General features: G+C 44.5%; 1 protein-coding gene across 32 annotated transcripts in view; it reads right to left on the minus strand.

The window, feature by feature from the left end:
- The window catches only part of SH3KBP1 (SH3 domain containing kinase binding protein 1), a 353,624-nt gene that overhangs the window by 50,826 nt on the left and 278,610 nt on the right, over positions 1-24,188 (minus strand). For 31 of the 32 annotated variants that reach the window (NM_001353890.2, NM_031892.3, NM_001353892.2 and 28 more), the window contains 4 exons: positions 23,136-23,243; positions 10,147-10,198; positions 7,265-7,345; positions 3,841-4,000 (listed from right to left, as the gene is read on the minus strand). In NM_001353890.2, the coding sequence (NP_001340819.1) occupies positions 3,841-4,000; positions 7,265-7,345; positions 10,147-10,198; positions 23,136-23,243 (401 nt within the window). Of the gene's footprint in view, positions 1-3,840; positions 4,001-6,259; positions 6,286-7,264; positions 7,346-10,146; positions 10,199-23,135; positions 23,244-24,188 lie in introns of those variants that run through there. The other variant, XM_011545503.4, reaches the window with a different exon arrangement.

Genomic DNA, 24,188 nt, shown 5'->3' on the forward strand with positions numbered 1-24,188 from the left:
AGCGTGAGCCCGGACGCTGCAGCTGGAGTGGCAATGCCTGGCTTCCAATGAGAGCTGCTTACAGTGACTACATGTCCATGCATGCAATCGTCCATCTATCCATCCATTCACCTGGTCAGGTAAATCCTGGCGAAGATCTGGGTTCACACAGAACACAATACCCTTTCTCCAGAGGACCACTGACACAAGACTATTTGAATTAACATTCCTACCTCCACTAACTTGGCAGAAGAAAACAAGTGCATAAACCAATATACAGGTTGGTTGTTCAATGTAATCGCTTAGCAAAAAAATATAAAGTGCATTAAGTACCAAGGAACAATAAGCCTTTCTCTGACTTTTAAAAGTGTTTTTGTGTGGCAATCCATGGCATAATAGGTTACTTAGAATGTAAGACACGCATACTAAATGTACTAAATGTACTAAATGTACTAAATGTACGGAGGCTGGGAAGGACGACAGGAGAGGCAAAATTGAACAAAATATAAGCACTGGCACCTCCCCCTCTTTTAAGGAACCATGGCATTCAACAAGTGTTTGTTAAATGAGCCACTACCATATGCTCGACACCGTAAGGCATGTGGAGATGACAAAACACACTCTTGATCTGCTTTAAATCTGGTAAAGAAGTCCGGGGGTGTTTGCATCCCAAGTAGCACAGCATGGGGCCCAGCACTAGGCTAAACACGGGTGGCAGGCATTTGGAGGAGAGAGCAATCATGAGATCTAAGGGAAGGCTTCCAGAGGAGGGCATGCTAACAGGGGCTCTCAAATCTGAAGCACGAGCAGGCGCTTGAGAGGCAGCCAGGCAAGGAGGGGCGAGCACCGTCAACAACTTGGAAGAATCTAGAGCAATGGGTGTCACGGTGTGGATTCCACCACCACTACCAGCAGCAGCAGCAGCAGCAGCAGCAGCAGCTTTTAAAAATGTAAATTCTCAGGCCCACCCAAGACCTACTGAGTCAGCAACTGTGGGGATAGCACCCAGCCATCTGCTTTGAACAAGTTCTCCAGGTGATTCGGAGGCATGCTGAAGTTTGAGAACCACTGAGTTAGAGCAGGCACTGCCCTCCCTTAAACCGGCTAAGCAGGAATCTCAGGGCTTTCCTCCCCCACACCCTCCTGCAAACCAGTGTCTAGGGAGCTAGGCAGCCATGGAGTGTGTGGAGGGCTGGGGGCTGACCACCCTCTCCCAGGCTGCTCAGATGGCACGCACTGTTAAGAACAATTACATCTTCCACTGGCTTCACGAACCTCTCTCATGCATCTCCCTTCATGGCCTGGACTTCTAACTAACCACTGGATACTGGGAGACGCAGAGGCAGAGAAGAGATAAGCAGAGGAAGGAGGCAAATGGGACCTCTGTGAGCCCAGAAGTTTGGTGGTGATGCCACATTTCCCCCAGGCTTGCAAAGCCTGTACCTATCCTATAACCAGAGAGTTGCAAGCAACTCTAGAAGGCAAAGCAGCAGTTGGAATTCCACTTCTCTTCAATCAGATTGTTAGAAAGAGCAGCAGGAATATTTTGGAAATTGTTATAGAGCTAACGGAAATGTTTGTAGCCCCTGGAGACTAATAGAATTTGCCAGGGTGTGGCTTCAGTGATGTGCAACCTTTGCTGCTCCACATCTTCCCCATTTGTATAGCTCGTATTCTTTTCGGAAGCACTTTGGTTTAAATAAGTTTTTTCTTCTGATATACTAGCTTCTGGGCTGACCACACCACTGAAATGATCCTTGCTAAGGTCATCAAGGCTGTCAAGTGGCCCCAATATGTGCATGTGCAAAGAACCTTCTATTGCCAGTTCATAGTAGAGGGTGGAACATGGAGAGGCCTCACCAACTCAACAGGGGGTGTCACATGGAGGCAATTGTTGGACTGGACCTTGGGAGATGCCTGTAGAATGACACAGGTGAACCAGCTGCTACTTGAATGGGCTCACACGCACCTGAGATGACCACAGCTCTGTATCGACTGGGCAGCCAGCCCACGTTGCGACTTGCCTCTACATTTGAGCCTGGGAGTTGTGTTTTTGTTGTTGTCATTGTTATGAAAAGCAAATGAGCCATACTACAATACAGATGAATGTTGAAGACATCATGCTAAGTGAAATAAGCCAGTCATAAAAGGATGAATCCACCGGGCACGGTGGCTCACACCTGTAATCCCAGCACTTTGGGAGGCCCGAGGCGGGTGAATCACCCGAGGTCGGGAGTTTGAGACCAGCCTGACCAACATGGAGAAACCCAGTCTCTACTAAAAATACAAAATTAGCCAGGCGTGGTGGCACATGCCTGTAGTCCCAGCTACTCGGGAGGCTGGGGCAGGTGAATCCCTTGAACCCAGGAGGAGGAGGTTGCGGTGAGCCGAGATTGCGCCATTGCACTCCAGCCAGGGCAACAAGAGCGAAACTCTGCCTCAAAAAAAAAAAAAAAAAAAAGATGAATCCTGTATGATTCCACTTACTGAGGTACCTGGAGTAGTCAAATCCATAGAGACAGAAAGTAGAATGGCGGCTGCCAGGGGCTGGGAGAGGGGGTAAATGGGGAGTCACTGTTTAAAGGGTGCAGAATTTCAGATTTACAAGATGAAAAGAGTTCTGGAAATGGTTGTACAACAATGTGAACGTACTTAATGCCACTGAACAGTGCACTTAAAATGGTTAGGATGGTAAATTTTTACATTGTGTGTATTTTACCACTAATTAAAACTTGTCTTTAAGAGAGTAAATGAGCTCTTTTTGTCTTACTGCAGCGTGCCCAATTCAATAGGCAATAATCAAAATAACAATGAAAATAATGTTGATTTGCATACTTGGGAATTATTTAGGTGCATTCCATTATCATCCTCTATTTACAGATGAAAAAAGTGAGGTGAGAGGATAGAGTAGCCAAGCTCCTACTCCTCCCATGAATGAGGTGGGCTGAGATTCCAGCCCTGAGGTCTGTCTGACTCCAACGCAAGAGCTGTGAAGCCCATGCAACTTTCACCAGGCCAACTTAGCTCATAAGAACAAAAATTCAGTGACTGTGTGTTGACATGTATACCTAAAGACCTCTGAGTCACTGACCTGCCCTGGTGTGTTACACCAACACATATAATACATATATATTTTCATATTATGGTAGAAAGTTCTGGCAATGAACTTATGGAGAGAATTCAACAGTTCCTTGCTCTGTGGTAGGTATCTCAGGTCTGGAACACACAATGTCCAACTCTGATTTCATGGAACACATGCATCCAGCCAGCTGGCGAATGAATTTGCATTCTGTCAAGCACATCTCAGAACACATGCCTGCATAAAGCATGTCCCCAGCCGTTGAGGGTCTTAGAGTTAGAGACGTTCCTGGCTCGGGGTTCCATAACAGGCTGTACAGTGAAGAGCAGAGGGAGCCTGGGCTATGGAAAGAAGCCCTGCAGAGCAGTGAGGGTCAGGGGTCGTAGCCACACATGAGATATACATACTTGAGGCCGGCACAACATCCAGGGGGACAAAGAGGGACACGCCACCTGCATTTCCAGGCTGAAGGGCAGTTGGCCTTGCTTCTAATAAGGCCCAGGAAAAACCCCTGTGTGTGAGCAGGGCCTAAATGCTGGGTACCCAGTCCTCATGAAACCCACACCGCACCCCTCAACCTCACACTCACTCCTGCCTGAGTGCAGGAGCAAGGACAGAAGTGGCCGGTGTCTTCAGATAATTTTGCTGGAGGATGTAAGAGGGAAGCTTGAGCACCCCCTTCTCCTCTCCCTTCCTCCCAAGGTCTGTGGCAGTCAGTTCCCCTCCTGTGTTCCTTCCATAGCCACCCCACACCCGCCCCGGAGGTGAGAGCACAGCAGTACCTGGTGTGTGTCAGCGGACCCACCGGTCTCTCCGGCCTTCTCGGGGGCAGTGCGCCAGGTCTGCTGAGAGAATTGGTCTTAGGTGGCCGAGGCTTTTTTGGCGGTATGGCAGGAACGGAGGGCTTCTGTAAATCCAGTTTTGGCTCTCTCTCTGGTCTTTCTTTAAATCATTGTTTAAAGAAAACAGATAGATCGAGTGTAAGTGACAGTACTTAGATGCAGATCACTCATTTCCTGCTAAAAAAAAAAAAAATTACTGATGCTATTTCTGAAGGTGATCATGGAAGGCCAAGAGCACCACTTATTCTTTGTCAGGTTAGAAGAAGTCCCACAGAGCTCACTGTTCCCTCCCTTGCACACCTTCACTCATGCTGGTCCTTCTGCCTGAAGCGCCCTTCTGGCCACCGCCCACCTTCAGCATACTCCAGCTCTTCCTTCGAAGCCTGGCTGAAACGTGACACTGCCATGTTCCCTTCCCAACAGCTCAAAGGCAGACTTCCTTCCTTCCTCACCTGAGCATTACAGGGCAGCGCTTTACAAACACGCTCAGACACTTTCTGGGTGTTTGCATGTTTGGCACAGCCTGTAGGCCGACAGCCCCTGAGGGCAGGGCCCAAGTCTGGTCATCTCCTCAGAGCTGTATGTGGTGCTGGCATGGAGTCAGGGCTCAGCAGAGGGCTGAGGGGTTTGGTCAATGGCCCACGGGACCTGCTGGGTATGGGAAGGAAAGAGGCCTGACACGTCTCAGGCTGGCCTCTGAAAAGGGCCATGAGCAAATAAAAGGGAGAGCATTTCAGGGAACAATGAGTTCTGGATTCTTCTTGCGCACAAGAAGTTTGAACTTGGAAGGCAAACTAGGACTTCACAGGTATAAGGTTTCCAAGGCTTTTTGGAGTCACAGATATTAGAATGAAGTTGAAGCCAGATCTGTTGGCCGAACGGGGGCAGTGTTCAGTGACAACCTCATATTTTCTGTTCCCAACTAGCCTTGCTCCGTGTGTGGCATAAAAAGCATACATCCACATTCTTCTTGATAAAGATGGAACTTGAGAGAGTTGCCCAACGGACTATAGGCAGGCTCCCTATGCTTACTTGTAAGATGGTACTCAGGACACCTTCTACTTGCAAACACAGACTCATGTTGTTTGGGTGCCCAGATGGTTGGCAAAAGGTTAAAAAAAAAAAAACCCATCAGGGCTGGGCGCGGTGGCTCACATCTGTAATCTCAGAGCTTTGGGAGGGCAAGGCGGAAGGATCACTTGAGGCCAGGAGTTCAAGACCAGCCTGGGCAACACAGTAAAACCCCGTCTCTACAAAAACTAGCCGGGCATGGTGGCATACACCTGTAGTCCCAGCTATTCGGGAGGCTGAGGCGGGAGGATCTTGAACCCAGGAGTTCGAGTCTGCAGTGAGCTACAATCGCACCACTGCACCCCAGGCTGGGTGACAGAGCAAGACCCTGTCTCTAAAAAAATAAAATAAAAATAAACCCATCAGGTACTATTATGCTCATCCCCACAATGTGGGGAAATATGCTCCAATCAGGAATGCTGGCAACTCATTTTATGGCACACAGGGGCCAGAGGAGGAAGGGCTCTGTTGAAATGCAAAGCAGGGGACATTTCTCCTATTGCAGCAGGACAGGGACAGGAACTCCAGCAGCCTGCTGGATGAATGGAAAAGGGAGTTTGTGCTGACCCAACAGGGAAACCAAGTATCCGGGTAGGGCTGATTCCCTGGCTTCCCTATTGCATCTGACCAGGGATTCTACGTCCCTCACCCGCTGTGGCATATAACAAGGGATCATGGGAGAGGAAGGAACCAGAGATGTGGGGCCACTTGGTCAGCCAACTAGGGTGGTTGTTCACATGTAAGCCTAGTCCATATGTCAGCATGGACTAGTGCAGGAAGTGTCCCCATCACGGAGCCTGGCTATTACCCAGAAACTAGCCATGTGTCCTCCATGAGGACAGAGGGTGGTGTCTGGTTATTTCACATCACACACTTTTTTTTTTTTTTTAGACAGGGTCTCACTCTGTTGCTCAGGCTGGAGTACAGTGGCATGGTCACAGCTCACAGCAGTCTTGATTTCCAGACTCAAGCGATCCTTCCACCTCAGCCTCCCAAAGTAGCTGGGACTATGGACACAGGCCACCAGGCCTGGCTATTTTTTTTTTTTTTTTTTTTTTTTTTTTTTTTGGTAGAGACAGGGTCTTGTTATGTTGCCCAGGCTGGTCTTGAACTCCTGGGCTCAAGTGATCCTCCCGCCTCAGCCTCCCAAAGTACTGGGATTACAGGTGTGAGCCACTGTGCCTGGCCATACCAATGCTTTTATACAAAGAGTTATTCATATAGTATATACTCAATGGCTGGTTTTTTTCTTCAATCCGTGACACAGACCTGGCCTTCACAATGAGGTTCCACAAGTCAAGTTCTAACTGCTCACTGTGAAAGAAAGAGGTATAGCTTCTTAAGAGCTGGCAATGTTGGTAAAATTTTTGGCAGGCTGATATCAAATATCAAATTTCACAATAAAATTTCATGAGGCCACCAAGGAGCACCTCCAAATAATTACATTCATTAATTCAGCATTTCTCTTGTGACTTAAAAATAACTGCTTTTTAAAATGGGATTTGCTCAGCCTCCTGTTCGTAATAACATAGCACTTTTCCCATAAAAATGTGTGATCAATCAAATCCTAGACACCTAATAAAATGAGTCCTTCTACAGTATGCAGAATTCTTTGGGAGAGACTCTCAAAATGGTAGGAGTCAAACGCGTTCATAAACCTGATTGCAGGACACACATTAACCTACTTTCCTGCCAATGACACTCCTGACCACCTTCAGGAGACGCTGGGGACCAAGCTGCTTTCCCAGTATTACCATGCCACCCTCCCCTCCTCCAACATCCTTGACCAAGGACTTCTGTCTGTAATAACGTTACCCAGAGTCAAGGGTCCATGAGTGACCAAAGAAAAGAGCTTTCATTTGTTTATTTATCTGGACGTGAATTTCACTATGCCAAATCCATCCATCAACAGTGAATGAGCACCTTGGGACACTAGGCATGAAGGACAGGCTAAGTGGAAACTGACAGATATATACCAGGCCCTAAAGGAACTTACATCCGACTTCAGGGTGCAGAGAGGGTGGCCATGGTAGAGACATCAGGAAACAGCAGCAATGTGTTAATTGACTAGACTGGTTATTTTTCATCTGATGAGAAATTGTGGTCCCACGAAGTACCACATAACCCTCTCCTACTTCCTTAGCAATAGGATTTGTAAAAGCAATCAAAACAAAACCATGATCACCATATTCCAAAGGAAAAGCAAATTCTGTGGGTATTCTGGACTAGCCGTGTAACAGACAGCTTCAGCTCCTGCTGTTCTGGAAGTGCCAATGAAGAATTGATTTCATACCTTTTTCTTCTGTTCTGTTTGGAAGCATTTCTGGTCTTTCAGGAGGTATCTTTTTAATTTCATGTTTTCTCTCAGTGGTGCCTAGGAGGGAAAGGGTAATAGTGATCACAAAATGTTTTCTGTACTCAATTATTACACCCACCAGCATTTAAATCTTTATCAGGTAGAGCAAAGTCAGTAAGATTTTTTCCCCTGAGTTGGGCGTTAGCATTATCTGGCAAGCACGAGCTGTTTAGAAACAGAGCAGAAGACATTTCTGGCCTATGTCATTAAGTTCACCTGCCTATGTATCCTTAATTTACAAGAATACCACTAATAATATTTTCTGATATTTAAGCCTGATTTCCTTAGGCATCAATATAGTCACAGGAAATCACCGGGTGGGGGTGGAGAATGTGTATAAATAAATGTCAATTATCAAACTTTACAAATAAGGGGCCACTGAATGTTGTGTTCTACCAAAAAAAGGGGGTTTCATAGGAATCTGGATCCCATTTTGTAGCCATTTTAAAACAGGGCCTGGAATTACCTGATACTCCTCCCAGTAAGAGGTGAGGTCTACATCCCCTTGCCAGGAATGTGGGTGGGCCTGTGACTGCTTCAATCAGTGGCAGGAATGATACCACATAACTTCCAAAGCTGAGTCATAAAAGTCCCTGTAGTTTATGCTTTATTTGCTGGAATACTGAACTTCCATGTAAGAAGTCAACTACCCTGGAGAGGCCACATACAGATGCTCCAGCCTATAGCCCCAGCTGAGCCCAGCCTTCCAGGCACCCTTGCCAAGGGGAGCCAGACACGTGAGGGAAACATTCATCTTCAAAGTGGATCCTCCAGCTTCAGCTAGTTCAGTATTCCCAGCTGAGGTCCCAGATATGACGGAGCAGAGACAAGCCAGCCCAGCCATGGTCTGTTCTTGACCCACAGAATCCATGAACATAAGAAGGCTGTTGTTTTATGCCACCAAATTTGGGGTCCTTCAAGTATTACATTTTTTCAAATGTACCACTTAGCACTTAGCCTTTACCCACATGGACTGCAGCTGCTCCCTTACCTGGGGTTTCCTCATTGGTGCCAGTGGCCTCAGGCATGTAAGAGCACTTGAGAAATAGCTAAAGCACAAACCAGTCAAAAGTACTCCTCTTATGTATGGACTGGGCTGAGTTCTTAACAAACTCTTTACATGACCAGTTCCAAAGATGGGTGCTTGGTACTAGAAATCTCAATTACACAACCTCAGAGAACAAAAGAAGTTAAAAAAAATATCCACCAAACACATCCTTTACTTAATTCCTCTTAATGACTCACTACAAATTAATCACCACATCTCATTTCTGTCAATTTCATATCTGATTTTTTTTTGGTAAAATAATCAAACGCAAGGAAAGTTGACGAGGGAGAAAATATGAATATCTATCTCCCCATTACAAAGCAGTTCCCACGATCATTCAGGCAGGATAAATGAGCAGTAATCTATAAACATTAAATGCCATCCTGCTTTGCCCCACAGAGACCCATCATAAACTTTGGTAAAATTGTTTTAAAAGGGTAAGAATTTGCCTACCATGCTACAATCTACTCACCTAACAATAATGAAGTCGGTATCATTCCTAGAGACACAGAAAGAACTGACAATCCTATTATACTGAAGAATCCAATCTTAGCTACATTCTAGACTGCCTGAGCCTTGGACTCCTCAACTAATCTCCACGGTCTCTGATCAATTACCAAGGCCTACAGGGAAAGGGGTCTTCAGAGAAAAGTAAATAAATAGCTTGCTTCAATTTCAGCACAATAAAATATATGGGCAGAACCACTAGGTGGCAAAATGAAACTGCTCAATGCAAACAAGGATGGGGGCGGAGCAAAAGATGTAATTAACATCCCATTTCAGGACTTAATCTCTAATAATTCTCAACTATGCCAAAGGGAATGGGAAAGGAATTTGGGGTCAAGTTTTTCCTCTTAACTTGGTGGGCCAAAAGAACTTAAAAATCACTTCTTAATAAGTTTATAAATAAACCAATCTTGAAATTTATTCATAATTTAACTGTTATAGAAATATAATTGTGAATGTGTAGAACTAAAAATACCCTTTCTCTTCTATTTTAGTTGTTAATTTTTTAAAATGCTACTTAACTAATAACTCATGGAGGAATTTTTCCCTATAATTAATTTTAACTATTATAAAGAGGAGTTCTACCGGGAAATATGAAATATCTTTTTATATATGAGAATCCAGTGTGAAACAAGCTACCAAATGTTCAACATCAATTCTTCCTATATTATTCAACCTGAATATCTGAACTACACAGAAAAAAAGTGAATTAGACTCTTCAAAATTAAACAAGAATCATAAGGAAAAGTATTTATTGCTAGAAAAACATCTTTTTGTTGAGGGGTAAGTGAAGTCAGTACAAATTTTGGTTAACCACATGGGACAGATATCGAAAATTCAGCAACACTATATACGCACAACAATGCTATGACCTGTGGGAAACAATCTTCCCTAAGCTGACCTTCAACTGGGCACATGAGAAACAGGGCAATTCAGTTCTTTTCTCCTCAAAAGCTGTTTACTTAAAAAAACCCAAACTTGTTTTTTTTGTTTGTTTGTTTGTTTGTTTTAATTCTTTCTGATCATTCTCATTGGGAGCCTAGATTTTTACACTATATCAGGGTCACATTTTAATGGTATGTTTATCTTTTAGGAAAAACAGAAGTATCTTTAAAACCTGCCTGCTGAGACCAAATCGTAACTTCCCAAGTAGTCAATCTATGGCACTTGAACCAGGAATCCCGAACTCTACACTGAGGATGATTTGAATATATGCAAAAAGAAAGACGCATATTTTATTTGATGGAACTGAAAGGTACATTACCTGCCCCTTGTTTGATGACAGGAGCGGATGGAGGCGGTGGCTTCTTGGGTCTCTGAAAAATTAATAAAAATTATACCACATGAGATTGTTGGCAAGCCTGTCCTCTCACAGAAGGACCACAGACATTGTTTTCTATGTGCAGTTTGGACAATTTAGAGAACCTCTCCAAAAAAATTGAGCAATTCTCTCTCCAGGGACGTCAGTTTTTGGCACCTCTAAACAAACACTAAAATAAATCCAGTCGGCAAAACAAAACTCCAATCGACAAATGAAACGCCATTTCCCCCTTTCTAAATTTGTAACAGCCTTCTGGAAAAGCACGGCTCAGCAAAAATGGCCTGAAACCAGCAAGCACAATGGTACTCCTACGCTGAAGCTGCATTTGCAATTAAGATTTAATCTGCTGAATAACCATGCATTCGAAAAGAGTCACTGTAAAGATTCAAAATTGAATCTGCTCTGGATGTAGGACTCTCAACAAAATGCAGGCTGAGGGCCCACTGCAGCCACATCAGGTTGCAAGCCTTCTGCCCCTTTCTACACCGAGGCTGGCAGGCCATTTGTTAGACACCCCACAGACTCATTGTACATGTGATAAACTGGAACAGAGAGGGATTTTTTTTGTTGTTGTTTTTTGGTTTGTTTTTTTTTTTTTTGCATATCAGCCGTGATTTGTTTTTCTCACATGCTGTCACTCTGTAGGTGATGGAGGTAGCAGTGCAATCAATGGCATTCATCCCTGAACTGGTTCCAGAGTAGCCAGCATTTTCTTGCCACCTAGGATTGACTGTGGGAGAGAGATGATCAGGCTGGACTTGGAAAATTATTCCATGGCCAAAAAATCCAGCCAGGGCACTGTTCTCAGACAGCTGTGTTAGGGGGAAGCAGTGATCTCTGATTCTGGGTGCATATGTGTGCGCACACGTGTGTGTGTCATTCTTAATGTTTTTCTGTATTGTCTCTATGAGTGCAGAGAAATATACTTTATTAAAATAAAGAAAGCTGCTCTAAGGGCCACCTGCCCTTACACACAGGTCCTCCATGGGATGGATGTGTTTCTGCCTCATGATCTCACATTATTCTTTCCCCTTTTGCCAGCCCCTTCTAGCTCTCTACTAACTCTTTTTCTTCCTCCCTTCTCTGTCGTTGTGTTAATTATCCTGGGGACAGATGTGTGTTTACCTAACAAAAGTATCAGTGAAGTTCTGCCAGTTAACCTTCCTTTACCTCGGAATCAGAGTACAGGCATACCTCAGAGATAACGCAAACTCGGTTTTAGACCACTGCAATAAAGCGAGTCACAGGAATTTTTTTGGTTTCCTGGTGCACATAAAAGTTATGTTTATGCTCTACTGTAGCTTATTCAGTGTGTGATAGCATGTCTAAAAAAGCAATGTACGTACCTTAATTTAAAAATACTTCACTGCTAGAAAAAACTAATGATATCTGAGCCTTCAGCGAGTTGTAAACTTTTTGCTGGGGGAGGGTCTTGCCTCAATGTTGACAGCAGCTGACTGATCAGGGTGGTGGTGGCTGAAGGTTGGGGTGACTGTAGCAATTCCTTAAAATAGGACAACAATGAAGTTTGCCATATTGATTGACTTTCTTTCGTGAAAAATTTTTCTGTATCATGCGATGCTGTTTGATAGCATTTTACCCAGAGTAGAACATCTTTCAATACTGGAGTCAATCCTCTCAAATCCCGCCACTGCTTTATCACTAAGCATATGTAATACTCTAAACCCGTTGTTGTCATTTCAACAATGTTCACAGCATCTTCACCAGGAGTAGATTCCATCTCAAGAAATCACTGTCTTCGCTCATCCATAAGAAGTAACTCTTCATTCATTCAAGGTTGATCATGAGATTGCAGCAATTCAGTCATATCTTCAGGCTCCACTTCAAATTCTAGTCCTCTTGCTATTTCCGCCACATCTGCAGTTACTTCCTCCACTGAAGTCTTGAACCCCTGAAAGTCATCCCTGAGGGTTGGAATCAACTTCTTCCAAACCCCTGTTAATGTTGATATTTTGACCTCCTCCCATGAATCAAAAATATTCTTACTGGTATCTAGAATGGTGAGCCCTTTCCAGAATTATTTCAATTGACTTTCCCCAGATCCATCAGAGGAATCACTATCTACGGCAGCTATAGACTTATAAAATGTATTTCTTAAATAACAAGACTTGAAAGTTGAAACGACTCTGATCCATGGGCTGCAGAACGGATGTTGTAGTAGCAGGCATGAAAACGGCATTCATCTTCTTATACATCTCCATCTGGGCTCTTGGGTGACCAGATGCATTGTCAATAAGCAGTAATATTTTGAAAGGAATCTTTTTTTCTAAGCAGTAGGTCTCAACAGTGGGCTTAAAATATTTAGTAAACCATGCTGTAAACAGATGTGCTATCATCTAGGCCTTGTTTTTCCATCTATAGAACAGAGGCAGAGTAGATTTAGCATAATTCTTTTTTTGTTGTTTTTGTTTTTGAGACAGGATCTCACTCTGTCGCCCAGGCTGGAGTGCAATGGTGCGATCATGGCTCACTGCAGCCTTGACCTCCCAGGCTCAAGAGATCCTCTCACTTCAGCTTCCCAAATAGCTGAGGCCACAGGTGCACACCACCACAACTGGCCAGTTTTATTATTTGTAGAGATGGAGTCTTGCTATGTTGCCCAGGCTGGTCTCAAACTCCTAGGCTCAAGTGATCCTCCTGCCTTGGCCTCCCAAAGTGCTGGGATTATAGGCATGAGCTGCCGTGTCTGGCAGCATAATTCTTAAGTGCCCCAGGATTTTCAGAATGGTAAATGAGCACCAGCTTCAACTTAAAGTCACCAGATGCATTAGCCCCTACTAAGAGAGTCAGCCTGCCCTTTGAAGCTTTGAGGCCAGATATCAACTTCTCTAGCTATGAAAGTCCTAGATTATCTCTTCTTTCAATCAAAGGCTGTTTCATCAATGGAAAATCTGTTGTTTAGTGTAGCCACCTTCATCAAAGCTAGATCTTCTGGATAACTTGCTGCAGCTTCTCCATCAGCACTTGCTGCTTCACCTTGTACTTTTATGTTATAGAGATGGTGTCTTTCCTTAAACCTCAATAACCAACCTCTGCTGGCTTCCAACTTTTCTTGTGCAGCTTCTTCACTTCTCTCAGCCTTCATAGACTTGAATAGTTAGGGCCTTGCTCTGAATTAGACCTTGGCTTAAAGAAGTGTTGTGGCTGGTTTGATCTTCTATTCAGACCACTCAAACTTTCTCCATATCATCAGCAAGTCTGTTTTTATTTATTTATTTATTTATTTATTTATTTATTTATTTATTTATAGAGATGGAGTCTCACTATGTTGCCCAGGCTGGTCTCGAGCTCCTGGGCTCAAGTGATCCTCCCATCTTGGCCTTCCAAAGTGCTGAGATAACAGGCGTGAGCCACCATGCCTGGCAATAAGGCTGTTTTACTTTCTTATCATTCATGTGTTTACTGGAGCAGCACTTTTAATTTCCTTCACAAATTTTTCCTTTGCATTCACAGCTTGTCTAACTGTTTAGTGCAAGAGGCCTAGCTTTTGGCCTGTCTCAGCTTTCAACATGCCTTCTTCACTAAGCTCGATCATTTCTAGCTTTTGATTTAAAGTGACAGATATGTGGCTTTTCCTTTCACTTGAACACTTACAGGCTATCACAGGGCTGTTAGTTTGCCTCATTTCAACATTGTTACATACCAGGAAATAGTGAAGCCCAAGGAGAGGGAGAGATGGGGAATCGTAGGTCAATGGAGTAGTCAGAACACACACAACATCGATCAATTAAGTTTGCCATCTTATATGGGCACAGTTTATGGTGCCTCAAAACAATTACAATAGTAATGTCAAAGATCACTGATCACAGATTACCCATAACAGGTATAATAATAATAAAAAAGTTTGAAATGTTGTGAGAATTACCAAAATGTAACACAAAGACATGAAGTGAGCACATGCTATTGGGAAAATAGCGCCAGTAGGTTTGCTCCACATAGGGTTACCACAACCATTGAATTTGTAAAAAACGCAATATCTGAAACACAATGAAGGAATGCACAGAAGAATGAAGTATGCCTGTCATTCCTTATTTACAAAACTGCCAACACCCCGTGGCCTTATTCTTCCCAGCCAAGTCCCAAGGACACCTACCCCTGGACATCTTCCTCACTCCTTGCTGGTCTGAATTTTTCTATAGCCAATTTCACATGAGCCTCCTTTCGCTGAGGCCATTACCCCAGCGACCTTGCCTCAAACCACAGGGCCCCAAATTTAAAAACGACAATTACAAGTCATCATATTTTCCAAGATTACTGGTCAAAGAAAAAAAAAATCCCTTTAATGTTGTGTCACATTTAGCATGTAGCAGACACATGAAATGTGACAGAGCAGAGCAGAGGGGCACCAGGGGAGGGAGAGAGGAAAATGTTGCACTAACAGACAGTGTATGAAGAGTGTGGTCACAGCAAGCATGTGTGTGAATGTGGCAAAGGACAGAGACAGAAGTGTGAAGTTTTGTTCGGAAACCCGGCAGTTGCAGAGGCAGTTGGGAGCACAGTTTTGAAAGGAAGGAACAGTTTGTGAGCTGTCTGTCTTGCATCTACCACTCTTGATCAATGCTGGCCAGGTGCCTGCTTTGCTTACTAGCAGAGGGGGTTCACAAGTTTTCCTCTTTTTTAATCCTTTACTGACTTCACTTTCTCTGGTTCCATCAAACTTAGCCTTCATGCTTTTTCAAAGGAGAAAAGATGCCATATTTTCAAACAGGATGTCTTTAAGGTAATTCTAAATAAAAATCAGGACCAGGGTTCTATGCGGCTGTAGACTGTCCCCCTCCCCAAAATGATTCATAAAGTATTGCACATGGGCCTACAATGTTTTTTAAAAAATGCAACAGGCGCCAGGCGCGGTGGCTCACGCCTGTAATCCCAGCACTTTGGGAGGCAGAGGCGGGCAGATCACGAGGTCAGGAGATCGAAACCACGGTGAAACGCCGTCTCTACTAAAAATACAAAAAATTAGCCGGGCGCGGTGGCAGACACCTGTAGTCCCAGCTACTCAGGAGGCTGAGGCAGGAGAATGGCGTGAACCCGGGAGGCGGAGCTTGCAGTGGGCGAGACTCCGTCTCAAAAAAAAAAAAAAAAAAAAAAAAATGCAACAGGCCCAGCACTTTGGGAGACCAAGGCAGGGAGATTGCCTGCACTCAGGAGTTTGAGAGCAGCCTGGGCAACACAGTGAAAACCCATCTCTACAAAAAATGCAAAAAGTCAGTCCGGCGTGGTGGCGCATGCCTGTGGTCCCATCTACTCGGGAGGCTGAGGCAGGAGGGTTGCTTGAGCCCGGGAGGCAGAGGCTGCAGTGAGCTGAGATCGTGCCACTGCACTCTAGCCTGGGCAACAGAGGGAAACCCTGTCTCAGTAAAAAAAAAAATGAAACAAATTAAAAATTTCTTTTTAAATGCAACAGGAAGACAAGGCAGTGTGAACTGAGAAGGCAAAACAGGTGATTCTCCAGCAAAATGTGACAGTAGAAAATTCATCACAGGAGTTCACTATTCTCAAATAAAAAGACATGAAGAGATCATTTAGTTGATTTCCCTCCAAACATCCCATTGTGACTGGATAAAGAAAATGGGGCTGGGGTCCTCCGGGCTAAGTAGTAGGTCAAGGTTTCCTGTGTGGAGTTTAACAGTAATAAGATATTAACCAGCTCCTATAGGTGCACACCCAAAAACATCCTTTCAACTCAGGCAAGTATTTAAGTCCTGAGTTTCTAGAGGCACTTGTTCTGTTTATTCTCTTTATCCCTCCCTCCATGGTGAAGGTAAAATGCTCCAGCTCCAACCTCAGGTGGCTTCAGCCTGCTCAATTTGCAGGTAAGTGCTAAAAAAAAACAGTGGATATTAAGAGCTGCAAGTCATCACAGGAGTCCCCCCTGCAGCTGAGATCACTGAGGCCCAGAAAGGCTGTTTCAACAGCTAGTTGGTAGCCAGAGGGCCCAGAACTCTACGTTTCTCAATGTCCAGACTACGGGAATTCATTTCACAAGAACCAACATGAATATAATGGTAACAAAGTCAATGAACCCACATTTTCTGATTTCTGGGAGAGCCGAATGCCTTCCATAGTCTTCATATATGGAGGGAGCACAGGCCTAAGTGCACATGCGTCTGTGTCTGCTTGTGTGCGGGGTTGTTGGCTGGCACCAAGACATGCAGACACCATCCTTCAAAGGATATATTAGCTAGATTTGATTTTTACCTTTACATTACCAGGAAGGAAATAGATATAAACGTTCTGGAATGAGAATGGCAGGAAGACAAGCTTTGTTTCCTGTGAAGGATTTCAGAACTGACTCTGCCCTTTGCTTGGCAAGACTGGCCCTTCCCAAGCAAAAGGCTCATTGGCTGGCTCAACTGTTCCCCTGGCAGGAATCTGGTTTGCTACTTTGCCTCTTGAGCTGGTTTGCCTTCAGAGCTCTGGCCCCAGAGATGTGATTTGGTAAAAACAAACAAACACAAACAGAAGTGTACCCTGATGGCTGGGTAACCTTTAAAGGGCTTCGTTAGAGGAATATGGTGAGGTTCTGGAAGTAAGTCTCAGCTTGATTTTCAGCAATTCTGGACTTTGGGAGACCTCCTCCACACATCCCACTAAGTTCTCTGGCGGTGTCTGTGGGTGAGGCTGGAGAGGGGACACAAATGGACAGCTCCTGATTAGGGCACCCCTTTGCAGCTCTAGAAACACATGGGGATCTCCACTCTGCCCTTTTCTCCCCTGCCCCTAGAGGAACAGCCACACCTTTGAAATGTGCAGCTAAAGCTATGCTCTAGGTGATGACAGTGTCTTAAACTGCACCTCTGTACCCTATAGAGTCCCCAGCAACTGCCTGCCCTGTCACCCGCACTGGAGATCCCCAGGGACCTAGGGAATCTGCTCTTGGAAGAGTCTTTCTCTAGTTTCCTTCCTCAGCCTCTGGCCTAGTGGTCTACATCCATCATCTCCCATTCAGACTGATGGCCTATTGGGTGGTCAGCCAGGCCTTGGCATTTGGTTTCTCCCTAAGATGCTCTCACAGTTCACCCCTTGGCTCACCCCTTCATTCCATCTGCCCCACCCTGAAAGTGATGCCTTGATTCCATGCCCAGACCCCATGATCAGATGGAAGGATCTGGGCCTCTCTTGGTCTAGGAAGGACAATCTGACAGGAGGCCAGCTTCCCCCTGCCCCTCCCTTCCACTCTTCCTCCTCTTTTGTACAAGAGAAAGCAGCAAGCAGGAGAGGAGAGGCAGGAGGAAGAGAAGATACACTCTGGCACCAACCAACTAAAGGACCATGGGTTCTTCACCAGCAACCATGTACCATGCATGCTGTAAGGCCCCATGAAGGAGAAGCTTGGGACATGGGCTCTGCCTTCAAAGACTACAGGCTGTAAGTACAGCTGGAGAAGGGAGAGGGAATACCATCTGGGTGGCTTTGAGAAAGTCCACTGGGGCTGAGTCAATAGGCCATACTCAGATGACATTAACTCCTTGACAAACCCCATTTCTTTGCATGTGAAACCACCCATGAAACTAAATGTTCAAGACAGATAATGTTTAGGTAAATTTTTTTCATAAGGCTGCTTATTAGAAGCACATATTTCTTTCTTTTGGAAGGCTAAAAAATAGGGAAATTATCGGGCATCTTCAGAAACTAGAAAAACAACAGTTCTTGTTATAGATGCCACGTTTTCAAACAAGATGTCTTTTAAGATGATTCTAAATAAAAATTAGGGCCAGGGCTAAAGGCTAAAGGACATGATGAATAATAAAGAAAATGTTGACTAAGAACAGATTTTACGGACTGAGTTGTCAGAAGATGGAGGCTAAGTAAGGTGAGGGGCCTCCTACGAATTTGGTATAGGGAAGGTAGAGTTAAACCAGCAAAATTCGGCCATTGTGGGAATCGAGCAAGAGACTTCCTTTCTTGCAAAAGTTTGGAACCTGCAAAACTTGTGCTAAAAAAAATCGTAAGAGGGTGGGTTGGCACATGATTATAATGGAGAAAGTGGGAAATCTAACTGATTGCATCACAATGTGTCTGGAGATTGATGTGAACAGGAAGGGTCCAGTCAGTCATGAAAACAAAGACAAATGGAGGCCGAAGGCAGTGGTGCAGTGCTCTTAGAAGTATCATCAAGGCTTAGTTGACTTCAACACATGGTTCCCTTGGCAGATCTTTCCCTTTGGTGCATGAAGGAGCCTCAAGTGATACCTGCCAGACCCTTGGTAAGAACAACAAACTCCTCTTGTTTTGATTCCTTGCCCTCCCGGAAAGCACCGGATAAACGTGGCTTCTGGTGGAACCCGGCTTCTAAGGAATCAGACCCATAGGGGACAAAATGACCGGGGCAGGCAGACCTCTGCGTTCCAGACTGGCTGACATCTGAGTTCTTGTTGTGATGAGTAAGCTGGCTGCCTGCTACCTGATTAAGTCTCTGTGACTCAGCAAAGGCGAGCCTGCATCATACTCACAGGGACATCTTCGAGGGCAGGTTTCTGAGTCCCTGAGGCTGAGCTCCCACTGGGGAGCATTCATTAGGGAAACGCCTATGGGAATCTTAGCAATGCCATCATTCTTGACTTGCACTAACACTGAAGAGCCCTCCAAATAAATGCATGGTAGATCAGTAATATCTTCTGGTGATTTGAACAGTTTCTCTTAAAAGAACTGGAGCCTGAGATTTACTTTTTTTTTGAGACAGGGTCTCGCTCTGTTGCCCAGGCTGGAGTGCACTGGCATGATCACAGCACACTGCAGCCTCAAACTTCTGGGCCCAAGCGATCCCCCAAACTCAGCCTCCTGAATAGCTGGGACTCCAGGCATGTACCACCATGTCCAGCTAATTTTTCTTATTTTTGTAGAGATTGGGTCTTGCTATGTTGCCCAGGTTGGTCTCAAACTCCTAGGCTCAAGCAATCCTCCCACCTTGGCCTCCTAAAGCGCTGGGATTACAGGCATGAACCACCACACTGGCCACTTTCTTAAATAACACTATCTTTCAAAATACCTATTCTAATTTTGTTCTTTTTTTAATGACAGTGAGCAGTTGTTTCTGCTGTTTTTGAGAGTCTAAGTTCCCCGTTAGCCTTCTGTAACAATGACACAGCACACACACTGCTTCATTAGAGTTCTCAGAATATTTAATCTTTCCGTTCTGGTATTCAATTTTACTGTCAAGGCCAAAAATAAACAGACAGCCATTGAATCTAGGTTCTCTTATAAATAGCTTACATAATTGCTCTAAAATATGCACCAAGAGATCAACGGATGCTCTTCTGGAATATCTTGAGGAAAAACCCCAAAGCATTTGTTACCCTGGTGAGGGAGAATCCACTAAGCACTCTCCGAAAGAAAGATGGCCAGGAATTCCAAAAGGCCTTGTAGTAACTACCTGAATTCACACCCCAGCAGAAAATATGTCAGCCTTATCAGAATGCTCTGCGGATGCCTACGGAGTCAAGAGGCCTGCTGTTGAATAAATGCCGTTTGCTTCTGTCTACCCTAATCATCACAGATCGTCCTCTTTTCTGGGTGAATGATTGTAACCCCAGTCACTGGCAAGACAAGATGACATCTGCTGACACCAGTGGCAGAACGTTTCAGACTCTAGCATTCACATAGTGCCTTCGTGTTAATGATTCTAATCATCTTCACACCCTCAGCGCAGCAAATGACAGCCCTATCTCCAGTCGCATTGTCACCAACTCACCAATACTCTGGGTGCAGCAATAAAGGCTGGTATAACAACCAATGTGAAGATGGTTGGCTGGTTTTTATAGACCAGAGGAGATGGAATGGGATGTTATACTTTGAATTTTCTGGAAGTTAAATGTTAGGTTATACAATCACTTTTCAGCTATAGGTATTACTTTGTCTGACGGGTATGACTATTGTTTCCCTTAAATTGGGTTTTCTGCTTCATAAGGACAAGGTTAAAAGACTTATCAAAGAGATGGCGGCTGCTTGTGGGGGATTAGAGAGATGCCCATGGGGCCCCAGAGAGCGTGCATGTCCCAAAGAGCGTGCCATGCCCAGTCCACTCATCACTGACAACTTCACTCTCCTGGTGGAAGTGCTTCCCTTAATAGCTTATGTAACACAGAGCTTCTAGAAAAGTACTGTATGGAGTAGCTCTCACCTGAGTGAATTTACTGCCCCCCCCCAAGACATGACTGGGAATTAGAAGGCATGCTTTACCCATTTGTTAAAAGAATGATCTAGATTTTACCCTAGTCTTCAAAACCCTACTGCCCATCACCACACAAATAACGACGTGAGGTAATGCATATGGTAATTAGCTAGATTCAGTCATTCCACAATGTATATATACTTAAAAGCATCACGTTGTAAACATTAAATACAATTTTATCTGTCAATTAAAAAAACATACTGCCTCAATCAGAACCAATAAGGTGGCAAATGTCTAGTAAGATGGTATGCTTGCTAAGATTCCTTGGTCGAAGGGAGAGGAGTCACCATGAAGGTCTTGGCGCCCAAATGCTTCAGGATGTGCCTAGCTTTTACCAGCCTCACAAAGATAGGGGAGAAGCGGGGTATGGGCAGACTGAACAGCCCCCTTGCCTCCACTCACTTGGAGAGGCCTATATCAAGTGTCCTTTCAGAAGAGTCTGGCAGGTCTCCATGGCCCTAAACGCCAGACCTAACTGCCTAACTCTAAGCTCACAAGGACAGTACCCATGTGCACGCTTCACTTTCAATCAACCAGCACAGTGGCCAGCCCAGAGAAAGGACTCAATAAATACTGAATGAGTGAATGAAAATAAAACATTTATCAGGCAGCAGATCCAGAAAAAAAAACCATGACAAATAACATAAAGATTATGCCATTCTGTGCTCACGTGTCTCTACCAATACATTTTCTAAGTTGCTAGATTTATTTCTAATGGCTATTTATCAAAGTTTTTAGATGCATTTGGATTCCTAGGGAAGCTCGCCAAGATACCAAGATAACTGTGTTGATTTGATGAGCTGGAGCAAAAAGAACTAGAGTCAGCCTTCTATCATTACTTCACAGTTTTAGCTAGAGTCTTCCTACCCTCGTGGTAAATAGTAATTATAAAGACTGGAATAGTTAATCTGTGTGAGGCATTTACCAACTACTAGGCACCATGTTTAAGAATTTATGTGCATCATCCCAGTAAATCTTCTCTCAACACTTCGACAAGGTAGGTACAATTATTCTCATGATTTTATGGATGAGAATGCAGAGGCTTAGAGACATTCAGTGACTCGGGTTTGGCTATAGAACAAGTAAGTGACAGAACCAGGATTCAAACCCAGATCTATCTGATGCCACAGCCTAGGGTCACAACCACTGTACTCTTTGTAATGTTTGCCATCCTTACTCCTGCGTCCTACTATTTCAAAACATTTCCTATGCAGTCACTACTAAGTGTTTAGTATCTTTTCTTCTCAGTGACTGATTTTGTCAAATGACAATCCACTATTGCTACAGTCATCAGTAAAAACATTTCAAGTGATTTTGCTTGGTGGAAAATTTCCTTATTGAATGATGAGCTCTTCTCTGTTGTGTGAATTTATTTCCCTCCTAAAATATGGGGGATGGGGGAGGAAACCAGAAGGTGGGTTGTCATCACTTAGATACCTGCTTCTACACTAGTGCTTCCTATACTGTAATATGCAAGCAAATCACCAGAGAACGCTGTTAAAATGCAGATTCTGATGCACCATGTCTGGGGTGGGGTCTGAGCATTTCTAACAAGCTCTCAGGTGATGCTGCTATTGCCGGTCCATGGATCTCACTTTAAGCATCAAGAATCTAGGAAACATTAAGAACCAGAATCCAGATTCTCTAGAACCCAAACTCAGACTCCAAGAGAGAACAACAGGTGTGGAACAGAACATCCTTCACCTAAACAATACAAGAAAGCAAGCAATCAAAAAGCTTACAAAGTGTGGCTAACTTAGCCTTTAAACCAACCTAATGGTCTATGGGCCGTAATCTTGGCAGGCGCCAACACCATCTAGCTTCTTAAACAATTACATCCATTCATCAAAGCAGCACAAATTCCATTAAATGCTACTTTAGTATCCTTGGCAACGAAGCCACCAGCACTGTAGCTATCCTTCCCACACCTCAGCCCTACTGGAATCGTGCCATGGCAAGATCTGGCTCAGCACCGTCCAGTAACAGAGTCCCCATGGACATGAAGTGGGTTGAGGCTGGGAAAGGTGGGCAGAGGCCACGCAAAAGCCTGGGCAAAGAACCTAAATATGGGATTGCTCCTCCCTTATACTGGAAAGTGCTTCTAACTTCCCAATATTTCTTATTACATCGTCAGCAGGGAAAGAATACACCTGGAGTGAGGCAAACACAGATGGAGTGGCTGATTTAAACAGTGGCATGGTCAAATGGGCTCCCACAACAAAAGAGAAACCGTGGATGAGAGATGTGTATATACTAATATACGGATATGTGCGGGTGTACTCACACATGTAAGCATATAGTGTAGAAAGATTAACAGGCCTCGCCCTGCATCCTCAGCCTTACAATGTGCTTTTCAACCACTTCCACAACACTGGCTACTTTCCCACCCCCAAGGACCATGCTATGTGGGATGCTGGCAGTCCACTTACCAAAAAGAGCACCCAAGGTTCTCACAGTTTATTTGGGTGCTGAAATGTGCCAGTGCTGCACCGAGTGCTTTACACACACTATCTTGTTTATGTATGCAACAACCGCAGAGTAGAGATCACTGTTGCCAGCTAACAGATGCATCCTATGATGAAACTTGTTACAGAGTATATGGCAGCCGAGGGCTCAGAATCTGGGTCTGTTGAATGTTCAAATGCCAGTGCTCTTCAACATTACACCAAACTTCCCCCATCCCAAGTCCCAACATGGGAGCCACAACTCCGCTGAAATCAAAGTGAAGGAGACTTACATTCCCTTCCTTTTCAAAGTCCGGTGGAAGTAACTTCACGAAGTTATCGGGGAACACGCCTCGTCTGCCGTTCAGCTCTCCTTCCCACCAGCCTACGTCGATGCAGTCCTAGAAAACAGGAGAACAGAGAGTGAGAGATGGGGGCAAGCAGCCTCCAGAGGGGTGTAACCCCCCTCTTCAAGAGAATGGAGGCCCTTTCCTGGAGGTCCGTGTTAATGAGGCAATGGTTACCAAGTCAGCACAAACCCCAATGTCAGAGGGGAAAACAAAAGCTTAAGTCCGCTTAACAATGTCGGCTGGTACTCAAAACCCAGTGCTGCTTTTAGATGCCCTGAATCAATAAGGTCTTCTTTTACCTTTCTTTCTTTCTTTTTTTTTTTTTTTTTTTTGAGACAGGGTCTCACTCTGTCGCCCAGGCTGGAGTGCAGTGGTGCAATCTCGGCTCACTGCAACCTCCGCCTCCTGGGTTGAAGCGATTCCTCCATCTCAGCCTCCCAGCAGCTGGGATTACAGGCACGTGCCACAATGCCTGGCTAATTTTTGTATTTTTTAGTAGAGACGGGGTTTCACCATGTTGGCCGGACTGGTCTCAAACTCCTGACCTCAGGTGATCCGCCCGCCTTGGCCTCCCAAAGTGCTGAGATTACAGGCATGGGCCACTGCGCCCAGCCTTTCTTTTTTCTTTAAGGATGGGAGAATATGTGTTTTCTTCATTTTAATTTTACTGAAATAAAAGTATTTCATTAACTGCAAATATGGCTTAGAAAATATCACATGCACAAATGTGATTAGCCTGTCACAAAGCTTGTCAATATTGAAAAAAGGTTTTGTGACAGTCAGCCAACCAGAAGAAAAATCATACTTTACACAAGCTCATTAATGCACTGCTCTCCTTCACCTTCTCCTTTAGATGTTGATGGCGCACAGTTGCCATCATGAAAATCCCTTCCTCCACTTTACAGGATGCAATGTTGGCATCCTAAATGAATGAATAAGGCTCTCCATTCTTCCAGAGTGAACTTGCTTCCCTTTGGATAATCTCTATTTTGTTCA

This window comes from Homo sapiens, chromosome X (genome assembly GCF_000001405.40).
Source record: "Homo sapiens chromosome X, GRCh38.p14 Primary Assembly".
NCBI lineage: Eukaryota > Metazoa > Chordata > Mammalia > Primates > Hominidae > Homo > Homo sapiens.